General features: G+C 35.6%; 2 long non-coding RNA genes across 2 annotated transcripts in view; one reads left to right on the top strand and one right to left on the bottom strand.

The window, feature by feature from the left end:
- Positions 1 to 774: 774 nt before the first annotated feature.
- LINC02424 (long intergenic non-protein coding RNA 2424) overlaps positions 775 to 25,239 on the top strand; it is a 33,067-nt gene continuing 8,602 nt past the window's right edge. The window contains exon 1 of the long non-coding RNA NR_135021.1: positions 775 to 1,341. This is a non-coding gene — a long non-coding RNA (long intergenic non-protein coding RNA 2424). The remainder of the gene's footprint in view (positions 1,342 to 25,239) is intronic.
- On the bottom strand, positions 7,835 to 24,952 carry LOC105369859 (uncharacterized). Its single transcript, XR_945130.2, has 3 exons — positions 24,844 to 24,952; positions 20,605 to 20,749; positions 7,835 to 8,004 (listed from the first exon to the last, which is right to left on the bottom strand). It is a non-coding gene; the product is annotated as an uncharacterized LOC105369859 (long non-coding RNA).

Here is a 25,239-nt window from a genome sequence, read left to right as displayed (position 1 = left end):
AAACACTATAATCCAAAGCAAATTACAAAACTCTCAAATCATGTACATCACAGAGAGAATATATGGAAGCTCCTTAAAACTAAGTAGTAGAAAACCGGCACCCAACAGAAAAATGGACAAATATGAACCTGATGTTTATAAGTTAAAAGAAAAAAAAAAACAGATGTCCCTTAAATATATGAAAGCATAGTCAATGTCTCTCAAAATAAATCTGATTTTGGGATCAGAACAAAGGAATAACAAACCCAAAACTACACCAAGATATAATTTTTAACCTATAATATACATGACAAGAACGTAAAATTTACAACTCTATTGGCAAGTTTGTGAAAAAAAATAACTTCTCTAATATGTTGCTATTGGGTGTAAAATAGTGAGACCCTGTGGAGGCAACTTGAGAATGACCATTAAAATAAAAATGCCTTCACTGTTGATTTATTAGTCTCTACTTCTGAGAATTTATTCTGCTAATTTACATGCATGTATACAGTATGATATATGTAAATGTGAATTCATTATAATACTTTCTTTATAATAGCAATAGACTGAGAAAACAACAACAAACATCTAGCATTAGGGGCATATTATATAATTGACTATCTTCCTATTGATACATTTTTTTTCTGTTATCACTTTTTTCTCAACATAATATGCCCCAGCCTTGTTCTAGAAGGCAAATCACATAAACTGGCCTGTGAACACATGGAATTCTGGGACTAAGACCAGACAGAGTCACAAATGGTTGCCTGGAAAATATCAGAACAGAACTCACACAAGCTCCCTGCTCTCAGGAGAATCTGGCACAGCACCATCACCAACTCAGAGGGAGGGAAGCAACCTTGAGTCAGCTCCCAGGCAGTAATGAGTGTTCAAGGGAGATATAACTCTAAGGAAAAGGATTGAGGTCAAGGAATTAGAAGAAACAGATGGAAGAATCATTTGAACCATATCCAGGTCTTTTGAAAATGATGAGACAGAAGAGAAAGCGAAAATTGCTTCAGACAGTTTTGCTGAGAAATTTGTCTCAGATAAATTTTGGAGTAAGGTCAGAGACCTAAGATAAGAAAACCCCTAGGCAGAGGTGGGAAAAAATAGAAAAAAGAAAACGAAAAGAGCAAATACATTCTTCCTTCCTATCTTCCACTTGCCAGAGTAGCTTTACTAAGATGCTGCCTGATCATTTCTCTCCAGACACTTTTGCCAATGATATTAATACTATAAAGGAGCATTTCTGGACTTGATTCATTAATGATTAGAAAGCTCGTAACAGATTAGATGACCAGGCTACAGTCTCACCTGCCAGGCAGTGCAGCTGCAGATCTTGGCTGACCATCATGTCAGGTGAGAAAGAGACTAATACAAAATAATTGCTTTTATAAATTGCAAGTTAATCTTCTGCTGATTGATATTCCTGAGTAGAATTACTAACATAGATTTGGGGAAGAAAAAAAGAAGGAAAGACAAAGATAGGCATTAATTATATTTTTGTATGTGCCAGGCAAAATGTCAGCATGTTACTTGTGCTTTCTGTTAATAGTCTCATAAATATCAAAAGTTAGGCATTATCCTCCATTTTGCAGATGAGAAAATTGGGACTTAGAAAAGTTTTTAGTCTTATCTATGATCACATAGAGGCAGAGATCAAATTTGAATGTGAAATGGTCTGATTCTAAAGTTTCTGTTCCTTCTAAACACATTCTATTGTCTCTATTTCAAATGTCAAAAACTTGGGTTTTACCCTATTGGCAACCTAACAGGTTGTCTGCCATGGATGCTGGCAGAACCATGAGACTCCTGGGTCAGGGACAAATGACAGTTTATTACTTACAAAATAGCAATAGCTAGTATGTATCATTTTTCTTATATGAGTTCCTCAGGCCCCAAATACCATAGGTGACATGAAAAGGGGGTGGATGACACCTGCACATGCCATCGGCTCTGTTACAGGAGAAGAACACTGAATTTAAGGAATCTAATTGTTTTATAATGTGCAATGGGCATAACTGCCGTTTGCCCTGGAGAAACACATTTTTCCCTATAAACAGTACAAAAGACCATATCTATCTTCCAAGACTGTTATAAAAATATCCTTGAAAATATTATCTAGAACAAAGACCATCACTGTTTCTGTTCATAAGGTGTACAGAAGTAAAACAGACCTGTGGAGAATCATCTCCCAATACCAATCCAATAATCATATTATAGTATTGCTTAGCATAGACTTTATAACAATTTCTCATACTTTCTAAAGGGTATTTGTGCTCTTCCTTTCCAAAATGGTGGTGGAGAAGCAAGCTTGCTTCACTCCCCAGAACAGAAAATCAAAAACAAATATATATCACCAAGATTATTACCGGTAATATCCCACAGCTCAAATGTAAGAATGAGTAAGTTCCTGGGGACGCAGAGAGGTGAACAAATTCAAAAATGTAGAAATCATACCCAGTGTCTTTACAGACCATATAAAATAAAACTACTAATCATTAATAAGAAGAATCTTATAAACTAGAAAAACACATGGAAATTAAACAACATCCTCCTGAATAACCTATAGGTCAATGAAGAAATTAAGAAGGAAATTTTAAAATATTGAAACAAATCAAAATCAAAACACAACATACCAAAATCTAAAAGATAAAGTAAAATCAGTACTAAGAGTGAATTCTATAGCAATAAATGCCTACATTACAAAGTTGAAATATTTCAAATAAACAACCTAATGATGCAACTCGAGGAACCACAAAAGCAAAAACAAACCAAAACCAAATTAGTACAAGGCAAGAAATAAAGATCAGAGCAATAAGAAATGAAATCGAGATTATAAAATACAGAAGAGAGGTGACACAACAAAAGCTTTTTTTTTTTTTTTTTTGGAGGGTAAAGATAAACAAAACTGAAACTTTTTGTTATACCAAGAAAAAAAAAAAAAAAAAAACTCAGAAGACCCAAATAAAGAAAAGCACAAAGAAAGGAAACATAACCACAGGAATACAGAGAATCATTAGATATTATTATGGACAAGTTTATGACAACAAATTGTAATTGCTTTATTCTGTTTATGTTTTAGGATTTTAGAACACGTATAGTTTGAGCTCTTTATGTAACATTAACTTCTTATACGTGGTGTAAGTGTTTTCCCATTTTATATGTTATTTTTATTTAATTATGCATCATTAAAGAGCATAGAATTTTTGGAAACATAGAACACTCTATGAACAGGTTTTCATGATTTCTTCTACTGCATCAAAATAAGCAAGTTATCACATAGCTTGATAAATATTAAATTGTAATTTCAGCTGTTTTCTCATAAAATTTACATTTATGTTAAATGGCTTCTATATCAATCTGGAGTTTCTCATTCCTGTGAGAATAAAGGAATCATTCTTTTCAGCTTCCTCCTCTAATCTTCTCTCCTGTAGCATTAACATACTTGGTGCCTTGAATCTTTCCTTGTGTAAGTCACTGTACCATGTAATTTGCTGTAAGCTTCAACATTTGAAATAAAAACTTCAGTCATAAACTCCCAATGAAAGTAGAGTGTGATCATGTTTCATCTCAGTTTGAGATATTGTACTACCGTTAATTTAGAAAATGTTCATTTATATTTTAAAGTCTTTTATTGTCAATTGTTGGTTCTGAACAATATCTAAATTGGAGTGATGTTAGGGAAAAGTTGAAGTCTTAGTACCTGATTTATTGGATTCAGCATGAGGACAAATCTCTGATTTTTTTTTTAATTGCTCAAATTCCTATCTAAGGAGTCTGGCAAGTCATAAATTCTCACAAACCATAAATTCTCATCAGAATGGGTTTTATTTAACCCTGTATATCATGACTTACTTTCCAATCTGGCTCTGGCATAACAAGGAAAAACACATTTCTCTGCCATATCTTGAAATGGCCCTGCAAAGGTGAGCTTTGTGGGGGAACTCGCATCTGTAAAGAATCTCTACTGACATAGCTCGATCTTTTTCTTCCGGGCCCTCCCAATCCTGAAGAGATTAACTAAGAGATTAAGTCTAGCACCTTTTAAAGATCTAAACAGGACCGGGCGTGGTGGCTCAGTCCTGTAATCCCAGCACTTTGGGAGGCTGAGGTGGGTGGGGCTCATAAGGCCAGCCTGGCCAACATGGTGAAACCCCGTCTTTACTAAAAATAGAAAAATTAGCCGGGTGTAGTGGTGCACTCCTGTAATCCCAGCTACTCAGGAGGCTGAGGCAGGAGAATTGACAGAGCAAGACTCTGTCTCAAAAAAAAAAAAAAATCTAAATAAGAAACATTTGTCATCTGTTGTCTCTAAGGGCAGCCACAATAAGACTTCAAAAGGACCTTGGTCTCTTGGTCTCCACAATCTTTTATCTTAACCTGAACATTTCCTTGAGATAGAGTCTCTGTTACCCAGGCTGGAGTGCAGTGGTGCGATCTTGGCTTACTACAGCCTCTGCATCCCAAGTTCAAGCAATTCTCCCATCTCAGCCTCCCAAGTAGCTGGGGCTACAGGTGCACGCCACCACGCCAGGCTAATTTTTGTATTTTTAGTAGAGATGGGGTTTAACTATGTTGGTCAGGCTGATCTCGAACTCCTGACCTCAGGTGATCTGCCTGGTTCGGCCTCCCAAAGTGCTGGGATTACAGGCGTGAGCCACCGTGCCTGGCCTGAACATTTCCTTTCTATTGATCCCAGGTCTTCAGACAAACCCAATCAATTGTCAACCAGAAAATGCTTAAATTTATCTACAGTCTGGAAGCCCCCACTTTGCTTTGTCCCACCTTTCTGAACCAAACCAATGTATTTCTTAAATGTATTTGATTGATGTCTCATGCCTCCTTAAAATATATAAAACCAAGCTGTACTCCAACCACCTTGGGCACATGATCTCAGAACCTCCTGAGGGCTGTGTCACGGGCCATGATCACTCATATTTGGCTCAGAATAAATCTCTAAAAGTATTTTACAGAATTTCACTCTTTTTGTCAACAAGCACAAAAGACGTTGAAGGTATTTTGACATCTTCGTATGGAAATATAGTGCATTTTAAAATTCACATCCTTTATCAAGAATTTTGTTAGTATGCCTATAAAGTCTCCATAGGTAGAAACAATATTGGATAGGGTAGACCTCTCTAGTTCCTGACTAAACACTTCTTTCTTACTAGCAATGGTTATAATTATTTTTAATCATTTATAAACTTATCTTAATTTTGCTGATATTCAAAGCTTAAACTTGAGGTTTTTACGGTAAATCTTCTTAAAAGTCTTGCTATGCTTCAGATGTACTGTTTTCCATATTTCCATTTGCTAAAGTATCAGAGATATAAAAATGCAGTTATTTATAGAGTTGGCATTGAAGCCTAGAGTTAATTATTCCAATCATATTGGTATTAATCTAGGCAATTGTCAATAAATCAAAAAGATGGAGAAAATGAGTGGCAGTCAGATATTCTGGATATTGTAGAGACAGACCTGAGTCAATTATTTGAAAATTTGTTATAGCTATACTAAAAATAACCAAATAAATTTGCAAAGAATCACTTAAACTGTGCATAAAGAGGCAAATTGAATTTTTCTGTATGTATAATTTTAGTTATGTATCCAGAATATTACATTTTATTTTCTGTGATTATTTAAAATAGTCTTACAAGTGTTAAGGCTATAATTTCTGAATATGTAAAGTTCAGCATACCATATTTTAGCCACAGATATCTGATTGACTAAATTATTTTCTACTACATAATTTGAGTCTCAATATATTAAGACAGTATAAGAAATGATTTTATTAGATGGAAGTTAGTAGAACTGGGACTCTAGGAGACACGGGCTTTAACTAAACAAGAAATCAATATGAATACTTTGGGTCAAATGACTAATCGATCAGTCAATCAGGACAAAAAGCAGTCAAATTAATTTTGTTTGAATTTACTAGAATATTTTTATTTAAAAAAGATTAGTCAAATTAATTGACCATTTGATGCAAAAGAGTCTATTGTGTGAATAAAATTGCTTTTGAAAATCTCTATGTTTTACAGATAGATAAAATGAAATTTGATCACTCAATATAATAGATCTAATAAGTATTTGTTCATTTATTTAATCTAATAACAAATATTTGTGATGTTTCAATATGAGATATTGAAACTCATATTGTTATGAGATACAGTAAGTTAAAGGACATATATATTAATGTGCAAAATATAATAACACAGGATGATGCAGGATGTGATCTATTATTTCAAATTATGTCTACTCATGAATAAATTACAATTTCATTAGAAGGACTCTGGAGAGCCTGGATTTTTGGACTGATTATTATTATTATTATTATTTGAGACGGAGTTTCGCTCTCATTGCCCAGGCTGGAGTACAAAGGCGCGATCTTGGTTCACCGCAACCTCTGCTTCCCAGGTTCAAGTGATTCGCCTGCCTCAGCCTTCCCAAGTAGCTGGGATTACAAGCATGCGCCACCATGCCCGGCTAATTTTGTGTTTTCAGTAGAGACGGGGTTTCTCCATGTTGGTCAGGCTGGTCCCGAACTCCCAACCTCAGGTGATCCGCCCACCTCGGCCTCCCAAAGTGCTGGGATTACAGGCATGAGCCACTGCGCCCAGCCTGGAGTGATTATTTTAATAGTCTTGCAATATACTATAAAGTTATTACAATGCCTTATGGAACTTGAACTGTAAGAACTGAACTAAATTCATCCTGAGCCAGGCAATGTTATTAAATCACATAAGACCTTGCCAGCGCACTGCGTACAATGTCAGGATCAGACAGGATATTGTAGAAAAGATTAATTTAAACTAAATACAAAAATATGTAGATGAAAAATAACTATTATAGGGAGATTTCGATAAAATCTTATGCTGGAGCTTAATTAGATGATAAAAATATGGTGACTCAAGTGCTTTGTCTATGAGAAGAGATGAAGAGAATCACAACTTGAACTCTTCAATGGTTAGGGGAAAAGGCTTCCCCAGGACCAGAAGCCTCATAGCAAATGGGTGAAGATAGAGGCCCAAAACCAACTTCCTTCTTTGATTTTATGCTGCACTTACAAAATTTCAAAAATGTCAGATTGTCTATACATCTGCACAGATAGAAATCCTCAGGGACTAAAAGATTTTAAAAACGAGTAGTCAGAAATGACTAAAATACAACTCCAATGCTTATATATATACCATAGTGTATGCGAGATCTAGAGAGTTGATTCTTCTCGCCCTTCTGATTGTAGAAAATGTATAACTTAATTATCCAGCGGCATTGTTAGTTGCTCTCCAGATAATTTTTAAGAATGAAAATACTGATATGCTAATATTTTATATCTGTGGAAAACTGTTAGTTGTTTCCCAACATTTTTCTTTTCTTTTTTTTTTTTTTTTTTTTTTTTTTTTTTTTTTTTTGAGACGGAGTCTTCCTCTGTCGCCCAGGCTCTGGAGTGCAGTGGTGCGATCTCAGCTCACTGCTAGCTCCGCCTCCCGGGTTCACGCCATTCTCCTGCCTCAGCCTCCCGAGTAGCTGGGACTACAGGCACCCGCCACCATGCCCGGCTAATTTTTTTGTATTTTTAGTAGAGACGGGGTTTTACCATGTTAGCCAGGATGGTCTCGATCTCCTGACCTCGTGATCTGCCCGCCTCAGCCTCCCAAAGTGCTGGGATTACAGGCGTGAGCCACTGCAGCCGGCCTCATTTTTCTGTCTTCCATAATAAAATGATTGTATCTGAATATATGACTGCTCAGCTAGAGGCAATATTTCCCAACCCTCCTTGCAGCTGGGCATGCTAATATGACTAAATTCAGAACAATGGAATGTTGAGCTTAATGGTAACTTACTCCTCACTTACTTAAAATGAAATCAATGCCATCCATTTGGTGTCTTCCTCTTCTTTCATGGGTGAACAGACATGCACACGACCTTTCAAGGGTGGAGAAACGTGGAGGGAGGACTGGGCCTTCACACCTTCTACAGCAAGTCTACTTCACCAGCTCTGACTGACTGGACTATTAACTGAAAAAAAAAAAAAAATCCAGTTTTATAGTACTAAGTTGTAAAAGCAACTTAGCCTTTATTCTAAGGAATACAACCATCCTCACCCTGTATCAAGTCTGTGAAATTCGTAAAGGAAAGAACTACGATTTATTTACCTGGTCTAGGGCCTGGTTCATAGCAGCTTTCAAAAACTACACATTTGTATTGAATAGGTAATAGTCCTCTGAAAGGTTATTCGGTTGTTTTTTGTTTTTTCAGTCTACCTCAGTATCACATCAAGAGAAAAAAAGGACTTAACATACAATTTGAGGGTAGTAATCATTTTGCTCCTTTCCAGGCTAAATGCCAATTATTTTAACCTTTTTTGTAAGACTTACTTTTCAGCCCTTTAATCATTATGTCACTGTCATTTTCTCTAGATGCTATCTAATTTCTCAGCATTTCTTTAAAATGTAATGATCAAATATGCACATATAGTGTATAAGAAGTGTTTACATAATGCAAATTAGGATGGAAGAATTATGTTGCAACCCCTACATGTAATACTACGGCATATTTAACTTAATAGCCTGGTTAATATGGTTAGCTGTTAACCCCAGAACCACAGTAATAATCATATTTACCTAATGATTGACAAAAATGCTCTACTGTAGCTATTTCTTTGCTACTATAAATTACCAACTTTATTATTAAGACTTATTTGTTGATATTTCTACTCCTTTTGAATCCATTATGTTTTTATGGGACTGTATCATTTTTATTATTTATAAATAAAATTATTGAATTTTGATTCATTTAATTAGGTCATCAATAAAAATATCAAATAAAATAGACAAGAGTTCTGCGAACTATCACCTGAACTGTCACTCAGGTTGACCTAGAATCACTGATAATGACCAATACCTGATCTTGCTGAGTATCAATATGTAAATCACTTCAGGGATTGAATGTAACCTCATATAGTAACACTTTCTTTAATCAAATCAGGTTTATTTTTTTCACCCAATAAAATGTCTAGGAAGAGAATAAGGGAATAAATCAAGACTGGAGTATCCCCTTCACAAGGCCAGACTCCTGTCTGTTTTTGTTTTGTTTTACTTTGTCATCCTTATTGTGGGTCTGTCATCCTAATGGTTTTTAGATAGCTGCCATGAACACACAAAAGGGTAAAAGGGACATATCAGTATGACTACCATTTTTAATAGAGATAATGGAGATTTTTCCCATAAGCCCCCTTCCCCTCAGTAGACGTCTGCCACTCATGCTACCCATGTCACATGGCTACCCCATCACTAAAAAGGAGTCTCAGAAGGCAAATACTTGAACTCGGCATAGGGCCACCTAGAACAAATTTGGAATATGTTAGTAAAAAAGAGGGAGTCATTAACTGTGAGTGGACAGTTTACCATATCTGCTATGTCTTATGCTGCAGAATCCAGATTATAATTCCTACATTATGGACAAGTATTTGCCGATGAGTAGAAAAAGAATGAAATCAATAATTATCTCTTCTTTCTCATTATTTGGCATACGTTTTCACTAATCACACTATAACACTGATCTAGGTTGTAGTATGATAAATGTTTGCTGATATATTGAATATTTACATAGAGCTAAAAATTCTGAACTTTCTGGCTTTATTCCTTATGAGAAACGACAGTATTTTCCCTTAACCAACCCTCTGGGGATATGAGGAGCTTGATGCCAAGAAACATTGAGAAACACAAATGTTTTTAAACTGTTAAGGTCTCCACTCCAAAAAAAGATTTTTTCAAGGTCCCCATCCCTCTCCTCAATGGGAAATTGTTAAGAAGAGGATGGATGTAGATTTGTTTTCAATCAGTTGTGTCTATTTAGATAGGCTAGAAATGCCGATTTTGATGCCAAGCACTTTCAGCATGTGAGACTATTAGAGATTTTATACATATATATGTATATATATGAATATATGTATATATGAATATATGTATATATGTATATATATGAATATATGTATATATGTATATATATGAACATATATGAATATATGTATATATGTGTATATATATGAATATATATGTATATGTTTATATATATGAATAGATATACATATATATATGAATGAATGAATGAGAAAGCCGGGGAGAGAGAGAGAACAGATAGGTACCACACAGGAATCTTTGAAGAGAGAACAATACAATCTTATGGTGAATATTTTCTATCTTTTGGTGTTGCTATTCAAACTGCTCTGTAATCTAGTGGTTTAAGAGGCAATTTCAATACCTCCTGCATAGTTTTGATTCAGGAGTCCTTTGACAATTTAATAATACCTAAGAAACATAAGAACATTCTGGCCATATGGCAGATATAGTGGGAAAATGTCCTTGCTTTGCGATTAGACATGCCTGGAATTGAATTCTGTATTTCCTATTATTAGGTGACACTCACTAAATCATTAAATCACTCAGACCCTGCTTCCTTTTCTGGGAATTGGAGTTTTGATATTCCTTTACAGGTTAGGAATTGCAATGGTCCTTCTCCATTATTTTCAAACCTCACACTCTACCAGAATGATTTATCAGAACTAGGATTTAATAGCAATTATTTCCAACTTTAGCAAAACTTTACTGCAAATAATTTAGTAAAAGACATCCTTGACAAGCTTTGCACCCCTGAAAATTGACAATCTTTAGGAATGGTACATAAAAGCTATTATTTTCCATCGTGCTCATCTCTAGAATTATAGATCTGTAGGTACATAGTAGCTTTTGTCATTTTTGAAAGTGTATTGAACATTTTGCTAAATATGGTGTACTAAATGTTGAAACGCTGACAGCTAAAAAGATACAAATTGTAATTTTACCTACTCATTGTACTTTCATTGTAAACTCTTTGCCTCACTGATTTGTTTCTGTCTTCTATTTTGCTGCTTTGTTTACCATGTACTTTCAGCTCTTAACTGCCTCTGGTTTTATTATATAAGCTTGAACACTACAGTATTTTCAAAGCTTAATGATTAAGTTATTTCAAAATTCTGCAAAGTTTCTATTGTAAGGATGGCATCCTTTATTCACAATATCTGGTGGATATTTTTTAAGGTTTTCAGTTCATATTTCACCCACAAAAACGTTCACGTCATCGTTAAAAATACAACTGCCCCATAGTATTCCTCAGTTTGTATGAATCATACATAGTTTTGCATTCAGTTATTTAATATACACCTGCACTGAAACCCTAGGATGTACCTTATATGCCTATTTCTTTCATTTTTTATTGATATATAATTGATGTGTTTTGGGGAGCATGTGATAACTCAATACATTCAAATATGTGCAAAGATCAAATCAAGGTGATTGGGATATTCATCACCTTAAATATTTATCTTTTCTTTATGCTAGGAATAGTCACATTGTTCCCTATTTTTAAAATGTAGACTAGATATTATTAACTAGAGTCATCCTACTCATCTATCAAATACTAGGTCTTGTTTCTTTACATAGCCTCGTTAATCAACCTCTATTTATTCCCTCATCTATGCTTCCTGTTCTCTGGTAACCAAAATCTACTTTCTATCTTCATGAGATCCACTCTTTTAGCCAACAGATAAAATGAGAACATGCTATGTTTGGCTATGGTCATTTAGCATAAATAACCTCTAGTTCTATCCATGTTGATGTAAATGACATAATTTTATTCTTTTTAGTGACCGAGTAATATTCTATTCTCATTCTGTGTGTGTGTGTGTGTGTGTGTGTGTGTGTGTGTGTGTGTGTGTGTGTGTGTGTGTGTAATATTTGCTTTGTCCATTTATCCATTGGTGGGCATCTAGGTTGATTCCCTAGCCTGGCTATTGTGAATAGCTCTGTCATAAACACAGGAGTTCAGCTATCTCTTTGATATATTGATTTCCTTTCTTTGGTCGCATACCCTGTAGTGGAATTGCTGGATCATGTGGTAGTCCTATTTTTAGTTTTGTAAGGAAATTCCATACTGTTTTTCATGGTGGATGTACTTACATTCCCACCAACAATGTAGTGAGGACTCTCCTTTCTCAACAACCTTGCCAGCCTGTGCTATTCCCTTTTTGATAAAAGCCATTCTAAGTGGAGTGAGCTATCTCACATTGTGATTTTAATTTGTATTTCTCTGATAATTAGTAATGTTGAGCATCTTATTATATATCTATTAGTCATTTGTATGTCTTTTTTTTATAAAAACGTCTTTTTACATCTTTTGCTCATTTAAAAATCAGTTTGTTTCTTGGCTATTTAGTTGTTTGTGCTTCTTATACATTCTCGTAAATTCATTGCCAGATGGATATATATACACATTTTTTTCTCCCATTCTATGGGTTGTCTCTTCATTCTGTTAATTGTTTCCTCTTCCGTGCAGAGGGATTTTGCTTGATGCAATTCCATTTTTTTTTTATTTTTGCATTTGTTGCCTATGCTTTTATGGTCTTACACAAAAAACATCTTTGCCCAGACCAGTGTCTTGGAGCATTTCCCCAAAGTTTTCTTCAAGTAGTTATATAGTTTCAGGTGTGAGATTTAAGTCTCTAATCAATTTTGATTTGATTTTTGCATTTAGTGAGAGATAAATGTCTATTTTCATTTTTTCTACAGATGATTAGACATGTTTCTCAGCATCATTTATTGAAGAGACTTTCTCCATTGTTTGTCTTTGGTGTCTTTGTAAAAAAATGAATTGAAAAAAATAAATGTGTGGAGTTATATCTGGGTCCTCTATTTTGTTCCATTGATCTATGTGTCTGTTTTAATGTCAATACCATGCTGATTTGGTTACTATAGCTTTGTAAGGTGCTTTGAAGTCAGGTAATGTGATATTTTGTTCTTTTTGCTCAGGGTTGCTTTGACTATTTGGGATCTTTTGTGGTTCCTATAAATTTTTTTTTAAAATATCTATTTCTGTAAAGAATGTCATTGGTATTTTGACAGGAATTGCATTGCATCTATAACTTGCTTTGGATGGTACTGTAATTTTAACAATATTAATTATTCCAATCCATGAGCATGGAATACTTTCCATTTTCCTGTGTCCTCTTCAATTTTTTTCATCTCTCTTTTATAGTTTTTCTTGTATAGATCTTTCATGTCTTTGGTCAAACTGATTCAAAGTATTTTATACTCCTTTTAGCTACTGTAAATGAGATTGCTTTCTTGATTTCTTTTCCAGATTATAAATCTAAAAAAGTGTAAAAATGCTACTATTTTTTATATATTAATTCTGTATCCTGCAGTTTTACTGAATTTGTTCATCAGTTTTACCGGTTTTTGATGGAGCATTTACATTTTTAAAAAATATAATATCATTTCATCTGCATATAAGCCTAATTTGACTTCTTCCTTTCTAATTTGTATACCTTTTCTTTCTCTTGCCTAATTGCTCTAGCCAGGACTTCCAGTATCACATTGAATAAAAGTGATGAAAATGGCACCCTTGTTTTACAGGAAAGGCGTTCAATTTTACTCACTCAGTAGGATGTTGGCTGTTTCTTTTATACCAGGTTCTTCAAGGTTTTTATTATAAAGAGATGTTGAATTTTATCAGATGACTTTTCCACATATATTGAAATGATGTTTGTTTCTTTGTTCTGTTAATGTGATGTATCATATTCAATGAGTTGCATGTATTGAACCATCCTTGTCTGCCTGAGATTAATTCACTTGATTATGGTGAATTATCTTTTTAATGTATTGTTGAATTCATTTTGCTAGTATTTTTGCTGAGGATTTTTGCATCTATGTTCACCAGTAACATTGGCCTTTAGTTTTCATTTATTGTTGTGTCCTTGTCTGGTTTTGATATCAGGATGATGTTGGCCTCATAGAATGAGTTTGAAAGTATTCCCTCCTCTTCAATTTTTGTGAAGAGTTTGATTAATATTGGTAAAATGTTTGATAGAATTCAACAGCAAAGCTATCAGGTCCTGGGCTTATCTTTGATGGGAGACTTTTTATTAAGGCTTAAATGTCATTACTAATTATTGGCTTGTTGTGATTTTCTATTTCTGCATTATTCAATCTGGATAGGTTGTATGTGTCCAGGAATTTATCCATTTCTTCTAGGTTTTCCAATTTGCTGATATATCCTTGTTCATAATAGTATAACAATTTTTATGTCTTTTTGTCTGATTTTGAGTCTTCTCTTTTTTGTTAGTCTAACTAAAGCTTTGTCAATCTTTACAAAAAAAACTTTTTGTTATGTTGATCTTCTGTATTTTTGATAGTCTCAATTTATTTTTGCTTTATTCTTTATTATTTGATTTCTACTAATTTTGAACAGTTTTCTTTTTGCTTTTGTAGTTTCTTGAGGTGTATCATTCAGTTATTTGAAGTATTTTAACTTTTGTAATGTAGGCATTTATTGTTTTAGACTTCCTTCTATTACTTTTGCTTTATCCCATAGATTTTGGTATGTTGTATTTCAATTTTCATTTGTTTCAATAAATGTTTAATATTCCTATTTTCTTCATTGATATATTGGTAATTTGGCAGTATATTGTTTAATTTTTATGTGTTTGTATAGTTTGTGAGGTTCAACTTGTTATTGCTTTTTGGTTTTATTCCATTGTGGTCACAAAAGATACTTGATATGATTTCTACTTTTAAAAAAATTGAGACTCATTTTATGGCCTAATATTTGGTCTACTCTCGAGAATGTTCCATGTGGTGATACAAAAAAATGTGTTTTCTGCAGCAATTCGGTGAAATGTTCTGTAAATGTCAGGTAGGCCTATTTAGCCTAGTATATTGTTTAACTCTGATGTTTCTTTGCTGATTTCCTGACTGAATGACCTGTCCATTACTGAGAGTAGAATGTTGAAGTTCCCGATTACTGTAGTACAGACTATCCCTTCCTTAGATCTATTAATGTTTACTTTATATACATGGGAACTCTAGTATTATGTGCATAGATATTTATAATTGTATCTTCTTGCTGAATTGACCCCTTTATCACTATATAGCCATCTATTTTTTTGATAGTCTTTGACTTGTAATCAATTTTATCTTATATAAGTATAGCAATTCCCTCTCTTTTCTGGTTTCTACTTGCATCAGGTATCTTTTTGCATCCCTTGAGTTTGTCTATGTGTGTCTTTAAAGTGAGATAGGTTTCTTATAGGCAGCATGTAGCTGATACCTGTTTATCTATTCAGTGACTCTATGTTGTTTAGTTGGATATTTGAGCCTGTTTACATTCAGTTTTATTACTGATAGGTAAGGACTTACTACTGCCATTTTGTTGTTTGTTTTCTGATCATTTTGTAAATTCTCTTTCTTCCTTTCTTACCATCTTCCTTTGTGGTTAGGTAATTTTTCCTGGCAGTATGTTTTGTTTCTTTTTACATTTTTAGTCTATCGATTATTAGTTTTTTCACTGTTTTAACCAAAAAGCTTACAAAAGTAATTTTACGGTTATAAAAAGTTATTTTAAAGAGATGACATCTTAGATCACAAAAAATGGAAACAAAGAAAAAAACTAAAAATAAAACTGTACATTTTAGTTTTATACCCCTTACATTTTTTATCAATTTACATATTTTTATATTACCTATTTTTAATAGGCTGCTGTAACTAACATTTTTATAGATTTATCTTTTAGGCTTTATACTAGAGTCATGAGTGCCTTGCCTACCACAATTACAGTATTGAAATAGTCTCACATTATCCTTTACTTAATTTTACCAGTTTTATACCTTCAAATGCATTCTTTTTGCATATTAATTTTTGTTTTCTCTCAGATTGAAAAAATACCTTTATCATTTCTTGTAAGACAGGTCTGGTGGTGGTGAATTTACTCAACATTTCTTTGTCTGGAAAAGACTATCACTGCTTTATATTTTAAATAGCTTTGCTGGATACAGAATTCTTGAATGGTAGTTTTTTTCTTTCAGCACTTTGAAAATATCATCCTACTTTCTCCTGGACTCTATGGTTTCCCTTGAGATGTCTGTTGCCAGATGAATTGGAGCTCATTTTTACGCTATGTAGTTCTTTTCTCTTGCTGCATTCTTAGAATCTTCTCTTTGTTTGACCTTTGAGCGTTTGATTATTATATACCCTGTGGTAGTCTTATTTAGGTCAGACCTGTTTGGTATTCTCTGACTTTCCTGTACCTGGGTATTTATATCATACTCAAGTTTTGAAAGTTTTTTAATTATTATTTCTTTGAATAAGTTTTCTACCCCTTTTCTTCCTCATCTGACTCTTAAATGCCAATAATTTTTAGATTTTGTCTTTTGAGGTAATTTTCTCTATTTTTTAGGTGGTCCTTCGTTCTTTTTTATTTTTTTTTCTCTCTTTGACAGTATTTTCAAATAGTCTGTTTTCAAGCTCACTTTTTTTTTCCTCTGTTTGATTCAACTAGCTGATGAGAGACTCCAATAAATTTTTCAGTTCAGCAAATGTATTTATCAGTCTCAAAATTTCTGTTTTATTATTTCAATTTATTTGTTAAATATCTTTGGTAAATTTTTGAATTGCTTTTCTGTGTTATCGTGGATATAGTTTTGTCCCTTAAAACTGTTATTTTGAATTCTTGTACAGGAGCTAACATATCATTGTCTCATTAGAATCAGTCACTGGTTCCTAGTTTTGTCCATTTGGGGAGGCCATGGTTCCCTACTGCTGTTTCTTGTGGATATACATCTATGTATTTGTATGAAAGGATTAGTCATTTCCTCCAGTCTTCTCTCTGTGGCTTGTTTTTTTACTGTTATGTTTGCTTAGAGATTCTCTGTAATTTACCTGTTGAATTTCTCCTCCCATCCCCCCCACTACTAGGGAACTGCTTCTTTTTTGGCACCAGACAGCATCTAAGCCCAGGTTTTCCTCCATTGCTGCCTGTCCTGAATGAAGGTGGTCACAAAGAGAATAGTCCATCAGTGTGGGAAGGCCAGCTAGGGGATTGTACTCATAGGATCGTAGGACACACCTCTTATATTGTTCTCCTGCTGAACCAACACTCTGATCTGGTGTCTCCTTTAGCCAAGCTACATAGTAATTTCTAGATCTTGGAATGTTAGTCCTACCTCTCCCCTTTGTCTCTGATTGTCTTCAGGAATATGTCTCCCTTTGTGATGCTTCCTATGGATTGAGGCAGTGACAGGTCTTCCGCCTTGTAACCCAAGATGGTGAACAAGCTGATTCTCCACCTCAATCTCACATTTTCCAGTGTAGAAATCATGAGTCAGGTGTCAATTCTCTATTTGCTTGGTGCTGGACAGATTGGAAGGAGGTACAACGTGGCTATGAAGTCTGATTCTCTTACCATTTGTTCAGAATATTTTCACTGCTTTGCAGCTCCAGGAACTGACTGATCCTCACATGCGAGTTGTAGAATATCACTGGTGATAATCTTGGCATTGTGTATTTTTCTGTTTTCCATGTTGGGGAATGAGGCCAGTTTGCTTCTACACCGCCATTTTGGAATCAGAAGTTCTCTATAGCTATTTCATAATTAAAAGCATAGTTTAAAGAATTAAAAACCCTTGCAATATGTTCTTCTTAACTCACGTAAAATAACAGAGCCCCAGAGATGAAAACCTATGAAGTTTCCAGTGAGAAACGGAAGGATTTACTCAAATTTTATCTGAAGGCTAAGGAATGAGGCTGCATCCTGAATATTTCTAGCCATATTGGGAAGCCATAATGGCTCACATAGTTTGGGAAATGTGGCTGTCTAGAATGTCTCTGAAGACAGCAACAATGCTATACTCCTCTGATATGCCCTCAGGTTTCCTGTATTAGTTTGCTCAGGCTGCCATAACTGAATACGACAGACTTCGTGGCCTAAATAACATAATTTTCCCCACAGGGAAAAAATTCCAAAATCAAGTTGCTGGCAGATTTGGTGGTATCTTTGAAGCTTCTCTTCTTGGCTTGCATGTGACTTTCTGCTGGCCCATGACCTCTCATGGCTTTTGTTCTATGTACCCACATCTCTAGTGTCTCTTCTTCTTCTTATAGAGACAACAGTTAAATTGAATTAGGGCCTTACCGTTATAACCACACTTAACCTTAATTATCTCTTTAAAGGTCCTATCTCCAAAAATAGTCACATTGGGGGGTAGGGATTCAACATATGAATTAGGAGTGACACAATTTAGTTCATGATAATGTCTGTGCTAGCCATAGTACAGGGAAATATGTCTCCTTTGTAGTTCCCAACTCCAACACCTCAACATAGCTTCACTGATGAAGGATCGGAAATGTCTTATCTCTACGGTGGCTATTAATGCATATTGCATGGAAGGGGAGGTACAGTAATGGTGCAACTGGTCCCTTGTATGTGCTTAACTGGAAAAACCTCTTTTCCAATTAGGGTTTCAACAGATACTTTCATTCTGAATTATAAATAATTCTACTATTATACTACTTTACATTATTATTCTATTACTTTATTTTTGGCCATAGAAAGAAAGATCAGTCAGGCACAGGACACATATTTGCATGCAGCAAATGTGTTTTGAATGCCATTGCTATGTGCTAGCTACAGCAGACACAGTCATAATTAAATGACATTCAATCCATGTATTCAAGACCCTTACATTCTAATAGCTCTTAAATATCTATTAATATTTTTAAGGAGAAGAGAAAAGGTAATTTTTTTAATTTGAAAAAAGAGACTAAAGGGAGAGAGGAGAATGGGGGTTGATAAATAATTGGTTCAAGGTTTCCTTGGAGAAGGATGAAAGTTCTGTAATTAAATAGTGGTGATGGTTTCACACTTCTGTGAAATAAAACATTGAATTGTATACTTTGAAGGAGTTAATCTTACCACATCTATATTCCATTTCAATAACCGTTATTGAAACAGAGAGAGACTAAAGAGATCCCCTATCTTGATCTTCTCTTCAGGGATGGTTTAAGCACTTCCAAACCACTACTACAGGAATTTCTGTTTCCTCTGAATTTCATTACACTGATAGTTGCTGAAGTTTATGAAAATACACTTGAAAGAGTGACGGTGCACTGGGGATTTATTCTATAGCTATTAGGGGGCAATATTGTATAAATGGTTAACTTAAATTTAAGAATTAGTATGTTATGTTCAAATTCTGGCTTTACCATTTGCTGGTTGTATAATACATGACAAGTTATTTAACCTCACACATTTATGCACAAAAATTTTAGGCTGAGTGTACTTATTAGCCTCATTTCACATATGAAGAATCAGGCTTGATCAAGGTCACAAGGCAACCACCAAAAATGTTGACAATGGAAACAAATAAAATATAGTCAGTAAGAGAGAATACTCTGCAATGAAATAAAATATGAGTTAAAATCTTCAAATTTCGGTTCTATGACTTACTCTGTGACTTTTGGCAGGTTACTTAATGTCTTTAGTCCTCTGCTTTCTTACCTATAAGGTGGTGTTTCAGGTACCTGTTGCTACATAATGAACCATCCCAAAACTTGAAGGCTTAAAATGGGTTATTATTGTCTTTCCTGCCTCTGCAGGATGAGTGGGCACAGCTGGGCAGTTCTCTTTTGGGGTCTCTTACTCTACTGCAAGTAGGTGCTGGCTGGGGCTGCAGTCATCTGAAGACCCACCTAGGCTGGATTTCAAAGATAGCTGGCAGCTGCTGGCTGTAGGCAGGAGGGTCAGCTAGAACTGTCAACTATGGCCACTATGTGTGGCTTAGGTTCTTGAAGCATTATGACTGGGTTGCAAGAGGAAGCTTCTCAAACAGGAGTGTTCCCAGAGGCCCAGATGGAAGCAATAATGTTTCTTATAAACTAACTTTAGAAGTCCCTGAATGTTACTTCTGCTGTATTTTATTACCCAAGCAGGTTACTCAGAGTAATCCAGATTTAATGGAAGGGTACATGGATGTGCTTTGGTCAAGGAAGAGGCTGAAGCAGATATCCAGGCTTACATGACTCAGTGAATTTGGCGTGCAGATGCACACCTCCATTTGTTACATAACCTGTTTGTGTAGGTTCATGCTTGGCTCTGAGCCACTATGGTCTGTAAAAGGTATAACTGCCCTGTTGACGCTGTGCACAAGAGACATGGCTCTTGGGGCTTAGCTCGGCTCAACGTGGCTCTTGTGCAGGTGCTGATACCTAGAGAGAGCATCAAAGAGAGCCAAAGAGGAGGGGCCCAGGACACAGTTTGGCTACCTCGTGCCCAGAGAAAGAGTTAAGCTGCTGACCCTGAAGGCAGGGGAGAGCCAGCCATGCAACTGCAGGCACAGGGGCAGCAGGAGCCGCAGAGCCAGAGCAAACAGCCAAGATAAAGGTGGACAGTGTAAGAAAAGTTGCTTCTAAGAGAGCTAGAGTAAGAAAACTGTTAATGAGAGCTGCTGCTAAATACAACTATCTTTCACCTGCCTACGCCTCCACCCTCACCCTCACCCTCACCCCCCAACCGGCCCCCAGGTGTTCTTTCTGATCATCCACCCACCCCACTCCCCTCAGACTTCAGCATGGGCTGGACCTGGACCCTGAGATCTGACAGGAATTAAATCCCATTTCTTCAGGTAGTGATTTGCATGTACATACCAATGGAGAAGGACTTAGTAGTTACCATTTTGCAAATTAATAACCATAGCCTGCCCTTCCACTGGCCACTGTAATCACATTCTCCCCATGTGCAAAATATACTCACCCTCTTTCCAGGAGCCTCAAAATCTCATCACATAATGGCATTGGCTTGAAATCCAGAACCTCTCTGCTAAATCAGCCCCTCATACAGATGGGGCTCCTCAGGTGAAATTCCACAGTGCAGTTCCACAAATGCAGTTTGACTGAATCTGAAGACATACAAACCAAAAATTTTCTTTAGTTATCTGCCCCCTACACACCCAATATACAAAGGTGAGGTAAGCATAGAGTAATGGCAAAATAACTCACTTCCAAAAAGAGGATGAAAAGAAAGCACTGAATCATTACTGGTCCACAGTAGTTGTTAACACCCTCCAAGGTTGACTTTGGTGACCCACTCACATGCTTACGTAGCACCATAGGCTTTTTTTAATCTTAAAAATAATCAAATTACATACAATTGCTTCTTCTCTTATCTAACCTGTCCAACATGTGGCAAGAGTTTGAAGAGCAAAGACTATTTTCTTGATCATTGTTCACCTAGTGCCTAGCACTTAACGGATGCTTAATCAGTATTAGCTGAGTTAATTAAGGCCTGAAATATGAACTTGTATTCTGTTAATGTATGATCTCATTTCTATCATTTAATTTCTTCATTGTTACATTTCCTCATCTGAAAAGTAAAAAGTTCAGATTAGACTCAAGAGCTCTGGTTTGCTCTTGATTCTTCTGTCACTTCTGCTTTGACATGCTGTGAACTCCAGCACCAAAACTACATTTTTCTCAGATGCCCCAACTAGTCAGCATTTATTCCAAAGAGCTCCACTCCCCGATGGGTGCTGACTGAAGAAAATAGAAACATGTGAACAACATTTTCACAAAGTGATGGGAAATTAGGCTCAGGTGCATGCCGGATTGAGCCAAGGGCCAGCAGAAGACAATGACACCCAAGTAATGTTTGCATTGCTCCTCAAGCATCTTACAAATTTATCCTGGGGCTAGAGGAAGGGTCTGAGGACCATAATCCAGATACATCACAGTGCATATCAGCAGATGGCAGAGGTGTATGCTTACACTCACCACTGTCACAATTCTCTGAAGTATCTCAGATTTCTGTACTTGGTTATCCTGTAGTGGGATGGAATATGTGGGCACAGTGTCTCCTTTGAATTTCTCTGAGTTTTGATTGTTGATTGATTGATTTATTTTTTTTTTTTGTGAGCCTTGCCTCTGAATTCCTCTGCAATGGGTTGCTAAAAAGACAAGTGCCTACCTTTGGAGCCCTGATTGTATTTATAATTCATTTCCTAATTTTTTTTTTTTTGAGACAGTCTCACTCTGGTATGCAGTGGCACAATCTCTGCTCACTGCAACCTCTCCCGGTTAAAGGTCTCCCGGGGTAAAGCAATCCTCCTGCCTCAGCCTGTGAGTAGCTAGGACTACAGGCATGCCACCATGCCAGCTAATTTTTTTTTTTTTTAGTAGAGATAGGGTTTCACCATGTTGGCCAGGCTGGTCTGGAACTCCTGACCTCCAGTGATCTGCCTGCCTTGACTTCCCAAAGTGCTGGGATTACAGGCATGAGCCACTGCACCTGGCCTCCTAACTATATGTATATTTTAATTAGCTTTCTCTATGTTTTATATCACTGTTTCACTTTCTTTCTTGGAACAATTAACTCCCACAATAGAATCTGTAGGCTGTTCCCTCTTTCATTCATTTTATTTATTCTTTGTCTATAAACTCCAGGGACATGGTTCTCAAATTTCAACTTACATCAGAATCACTTGGAAGGTTTATTAAAGTACAGATTGCTGGGCCACATCCCCAGAGTTTCCAGTTCTAGAGGTGGGTCTGATAATTTGCATTTCTAAATATTCCCAAGTGATGCTGTTGCTGCTTGCATAGGGACCACACTTTAGGAACCAAGTGCTTTAGGGTATGCACCAAAACCCAAGTTTAAAAGTGTTATTTTTTACTTGTGGAACTGAGTTGTCTTTTTTTGTTTTTTGTTTTTTTTTTTGAGACAGTCTTGCTCTGTGGCCCAGGCTGGAGTGCAGTGGCATGATCTTGGCTCACTACAACCTCTGCGTCGCGAGTTCACGCCATTCTCCTGCCTCAGCCTCCCAAGTAGCTGGTACTTGGGAGCTGGTACTACAGGTGCCCACCACCACGCCCAGCTAATTATTTTTTTAATTTATTTTATTTTTGTATTTTTAGTAGAGACAGGGTTTCACCATGTTCGCCAGGATGGTCTTGATCTCCTGACCTCATGATCTGCCCATCTCGGCCTCCCAAAGTGCTGGGATTACAGGCGTGAGCCACCGTGCCCCGCCAGAACTGAGTTCTTAACCTGTGGGGTGTGCACTAACCCCAGGTAGCTAATGCCCAAATTTTGAAAAAAAACTTATTATTAGGGATATATAATAATTGCATGTGTTTGTGAGGTACATGTGGTATTTTGATACAAACATACAATGTGTACTAATAAAATCAGAATTTGAGCTATCTCTACCACTTCAAGCATTTAGATTTCTTTGTGCTAAGAACATCTAATTACACTTAGTTATTTTGAAATATGCAATCAATTTTTTGTTAGCTATATTCACTTCACTGTGCTTCCTAACACTAGATCTTATGCTATATAATTTTATTTTTGTACCCATTTACCACTTCCTCTTTATTTCTCCACCCCCACTACCCTCCCAGACTTGGATAACCATCATTCTACTCTCTATCTCCATTAGTTCAATTTTTGGGGGGTCCCACATATTAGTGAGAACAGGTAATATTTATCTTAATGAGCCTGGCTTATTTTACTTAACATTATGTTCTCCATTTTCATCTATCTCTTTGTAAATGACAGGATTATGTTCTTTTTTATGGCTGAATAATATTCCATTGTGTATATGTACATTTCCTTTATCCATTCATCCGTTGGTGAGCACTTAGGTTGATTACATATTTTGGCGATTGTGAATAGCCCTGCAATAAACAATAAAAATGGGAGTGCAGATATATCTTCAATATACTGATTTCCTTTCTTTTGGATCTATCTCCAGAAGTGGGATTGCTAGATCATATGTAGCTCCATTTTCGGCTTTTTGAAGAACCTCCGTACTGTTCTCCATTGTGCCTGTACTAATTTACATTCCCACCAACAGTGTACAAGGGTTTGCTTTTCTCCATAACCTTGCCAGCATTTGCTATTGCCTGTTTTCTGGATGAAAGTCATTTTAACTGGGATGAGATGATATCTCATTGTACTTTAATTTACACTTTTCTGATGATTACTGATTACTGATGTTGAGCATTTTTTTCATATACCTGTTGACCATTTCTATGTCTTCTTTTGAGAAAAGACTATTTGGGTCTTTGGCCCATTTTTAAAATTGGATTATTTGTTTTGTTTAGTTGTCTTCTGTTGAGCTGTATGTATTTCGGTTATTAATCACCTGTCTGATGGGTAGTTTGCAAGTATTTTCTCTTTTTCTGGGAGTTTTCTTTTCACTTTGTTATTTCCTTTGCTACCCAGAAGCTTTTAGCACTATGTGATCCTCCTTTGTCCATTTTTGCTTTGATTGTCTGTGCTTCTGAGATCTTACTCAAGAAATCCTTGCCCAGACCAATGTCCTGGAGTATTTCCTCAATGCTTTCTTCTGGTAGTTTTATAGTTTTGGCCCATAGATTTAAGCTTTTAATCCATTTTTAAGTGATTTTCTTATATAATGATATATATCTTTTTAATGGCAAGCTATTTTATTGCCTCTCAAATATAATTTTTGCTAAGAGCACAGCTTTTTTAAAGCCTCTTTTGATTTCTCACTCTGTGTGAAAAGTCAACCTGTTAGCCTAATTGCCGAAATTCTTGAATTATGCAAAGTAACAGGATAGCTGAACTAACATCCGAGATTAGCCGTGGTGAAGTAAAGTTCCATCCACTTTGAGTTGTTTCCTAGAAACTTTACTCCAAGGGTGGGAAAACAGTTCCTTCTCATTTTTTTTGTGTCTCCCTATATAAGCGTATACTCTGTTTTTCTTTCCCATAACACCATCTAGAACATTTATAAACACATTAAGATAACTAAATTTAGGGCACGAAAGAAAAAGAAAGGTTCGTTCTACCAGCTAAAACTGTTTCCCAGCGTTTCTATTCATCGATTATCATCACTTCAATCTTAGACTTTGGTAAAGTAAACAACCATTTTTTTTAACCACTTAAAATTTAAGGATATTGGACACTTTATTTAACCTCATTGAGCCTCAATTTATTCACTCATTAAGTGAGAGTATTGGTACTTACCTTCTAGTATTTTATGAGAACTTAATCTATATATACTATCTTCATTCCCCCATTGAGACCTGAAATTCTGTTGATTGCCATTTTTTTCTTCTTCCTTTGATCTGATTTTAATATTCTATAAAAATAAAAACAAAAATATGGAAAAAGGTGGTCATGCTTTACTATATTTAATGTTTTATATTGGAGTAGAGCATAATTTTTATAAATTCGGGGCCTCTGTTGATTCAACACTTTTTCATGCTGTTAGTTTCCTGAGTTGACTTTAACTCATTCTCTAATTTTATTTATTAGTATTTAAATTAGGCATGACTCCATGAAAAAAAAATCCTATTTTCCTTTGTGTCTCAATCAATTCCTTTTCCAGTGTGTGTGGCTTTTCTCGATTGTTGACAAGAC

This window comes from Homo sapiens, chromosome 12 (genome assembly GCF_000001405.40).
Source record: "Homo sapiens chromosome 12, GRCh38.p14 Primary Assembly".
Lineage (NCBI taxonomy): Eukaryota > Metazoa > Chordata > Mammalia > Primates > Hominidae > Homo > Homo sapiens.
Note: the sequence above shows the minus strand (reverse complement) of the source record. Positions and strands in the feature narration are given on the sequence as shown.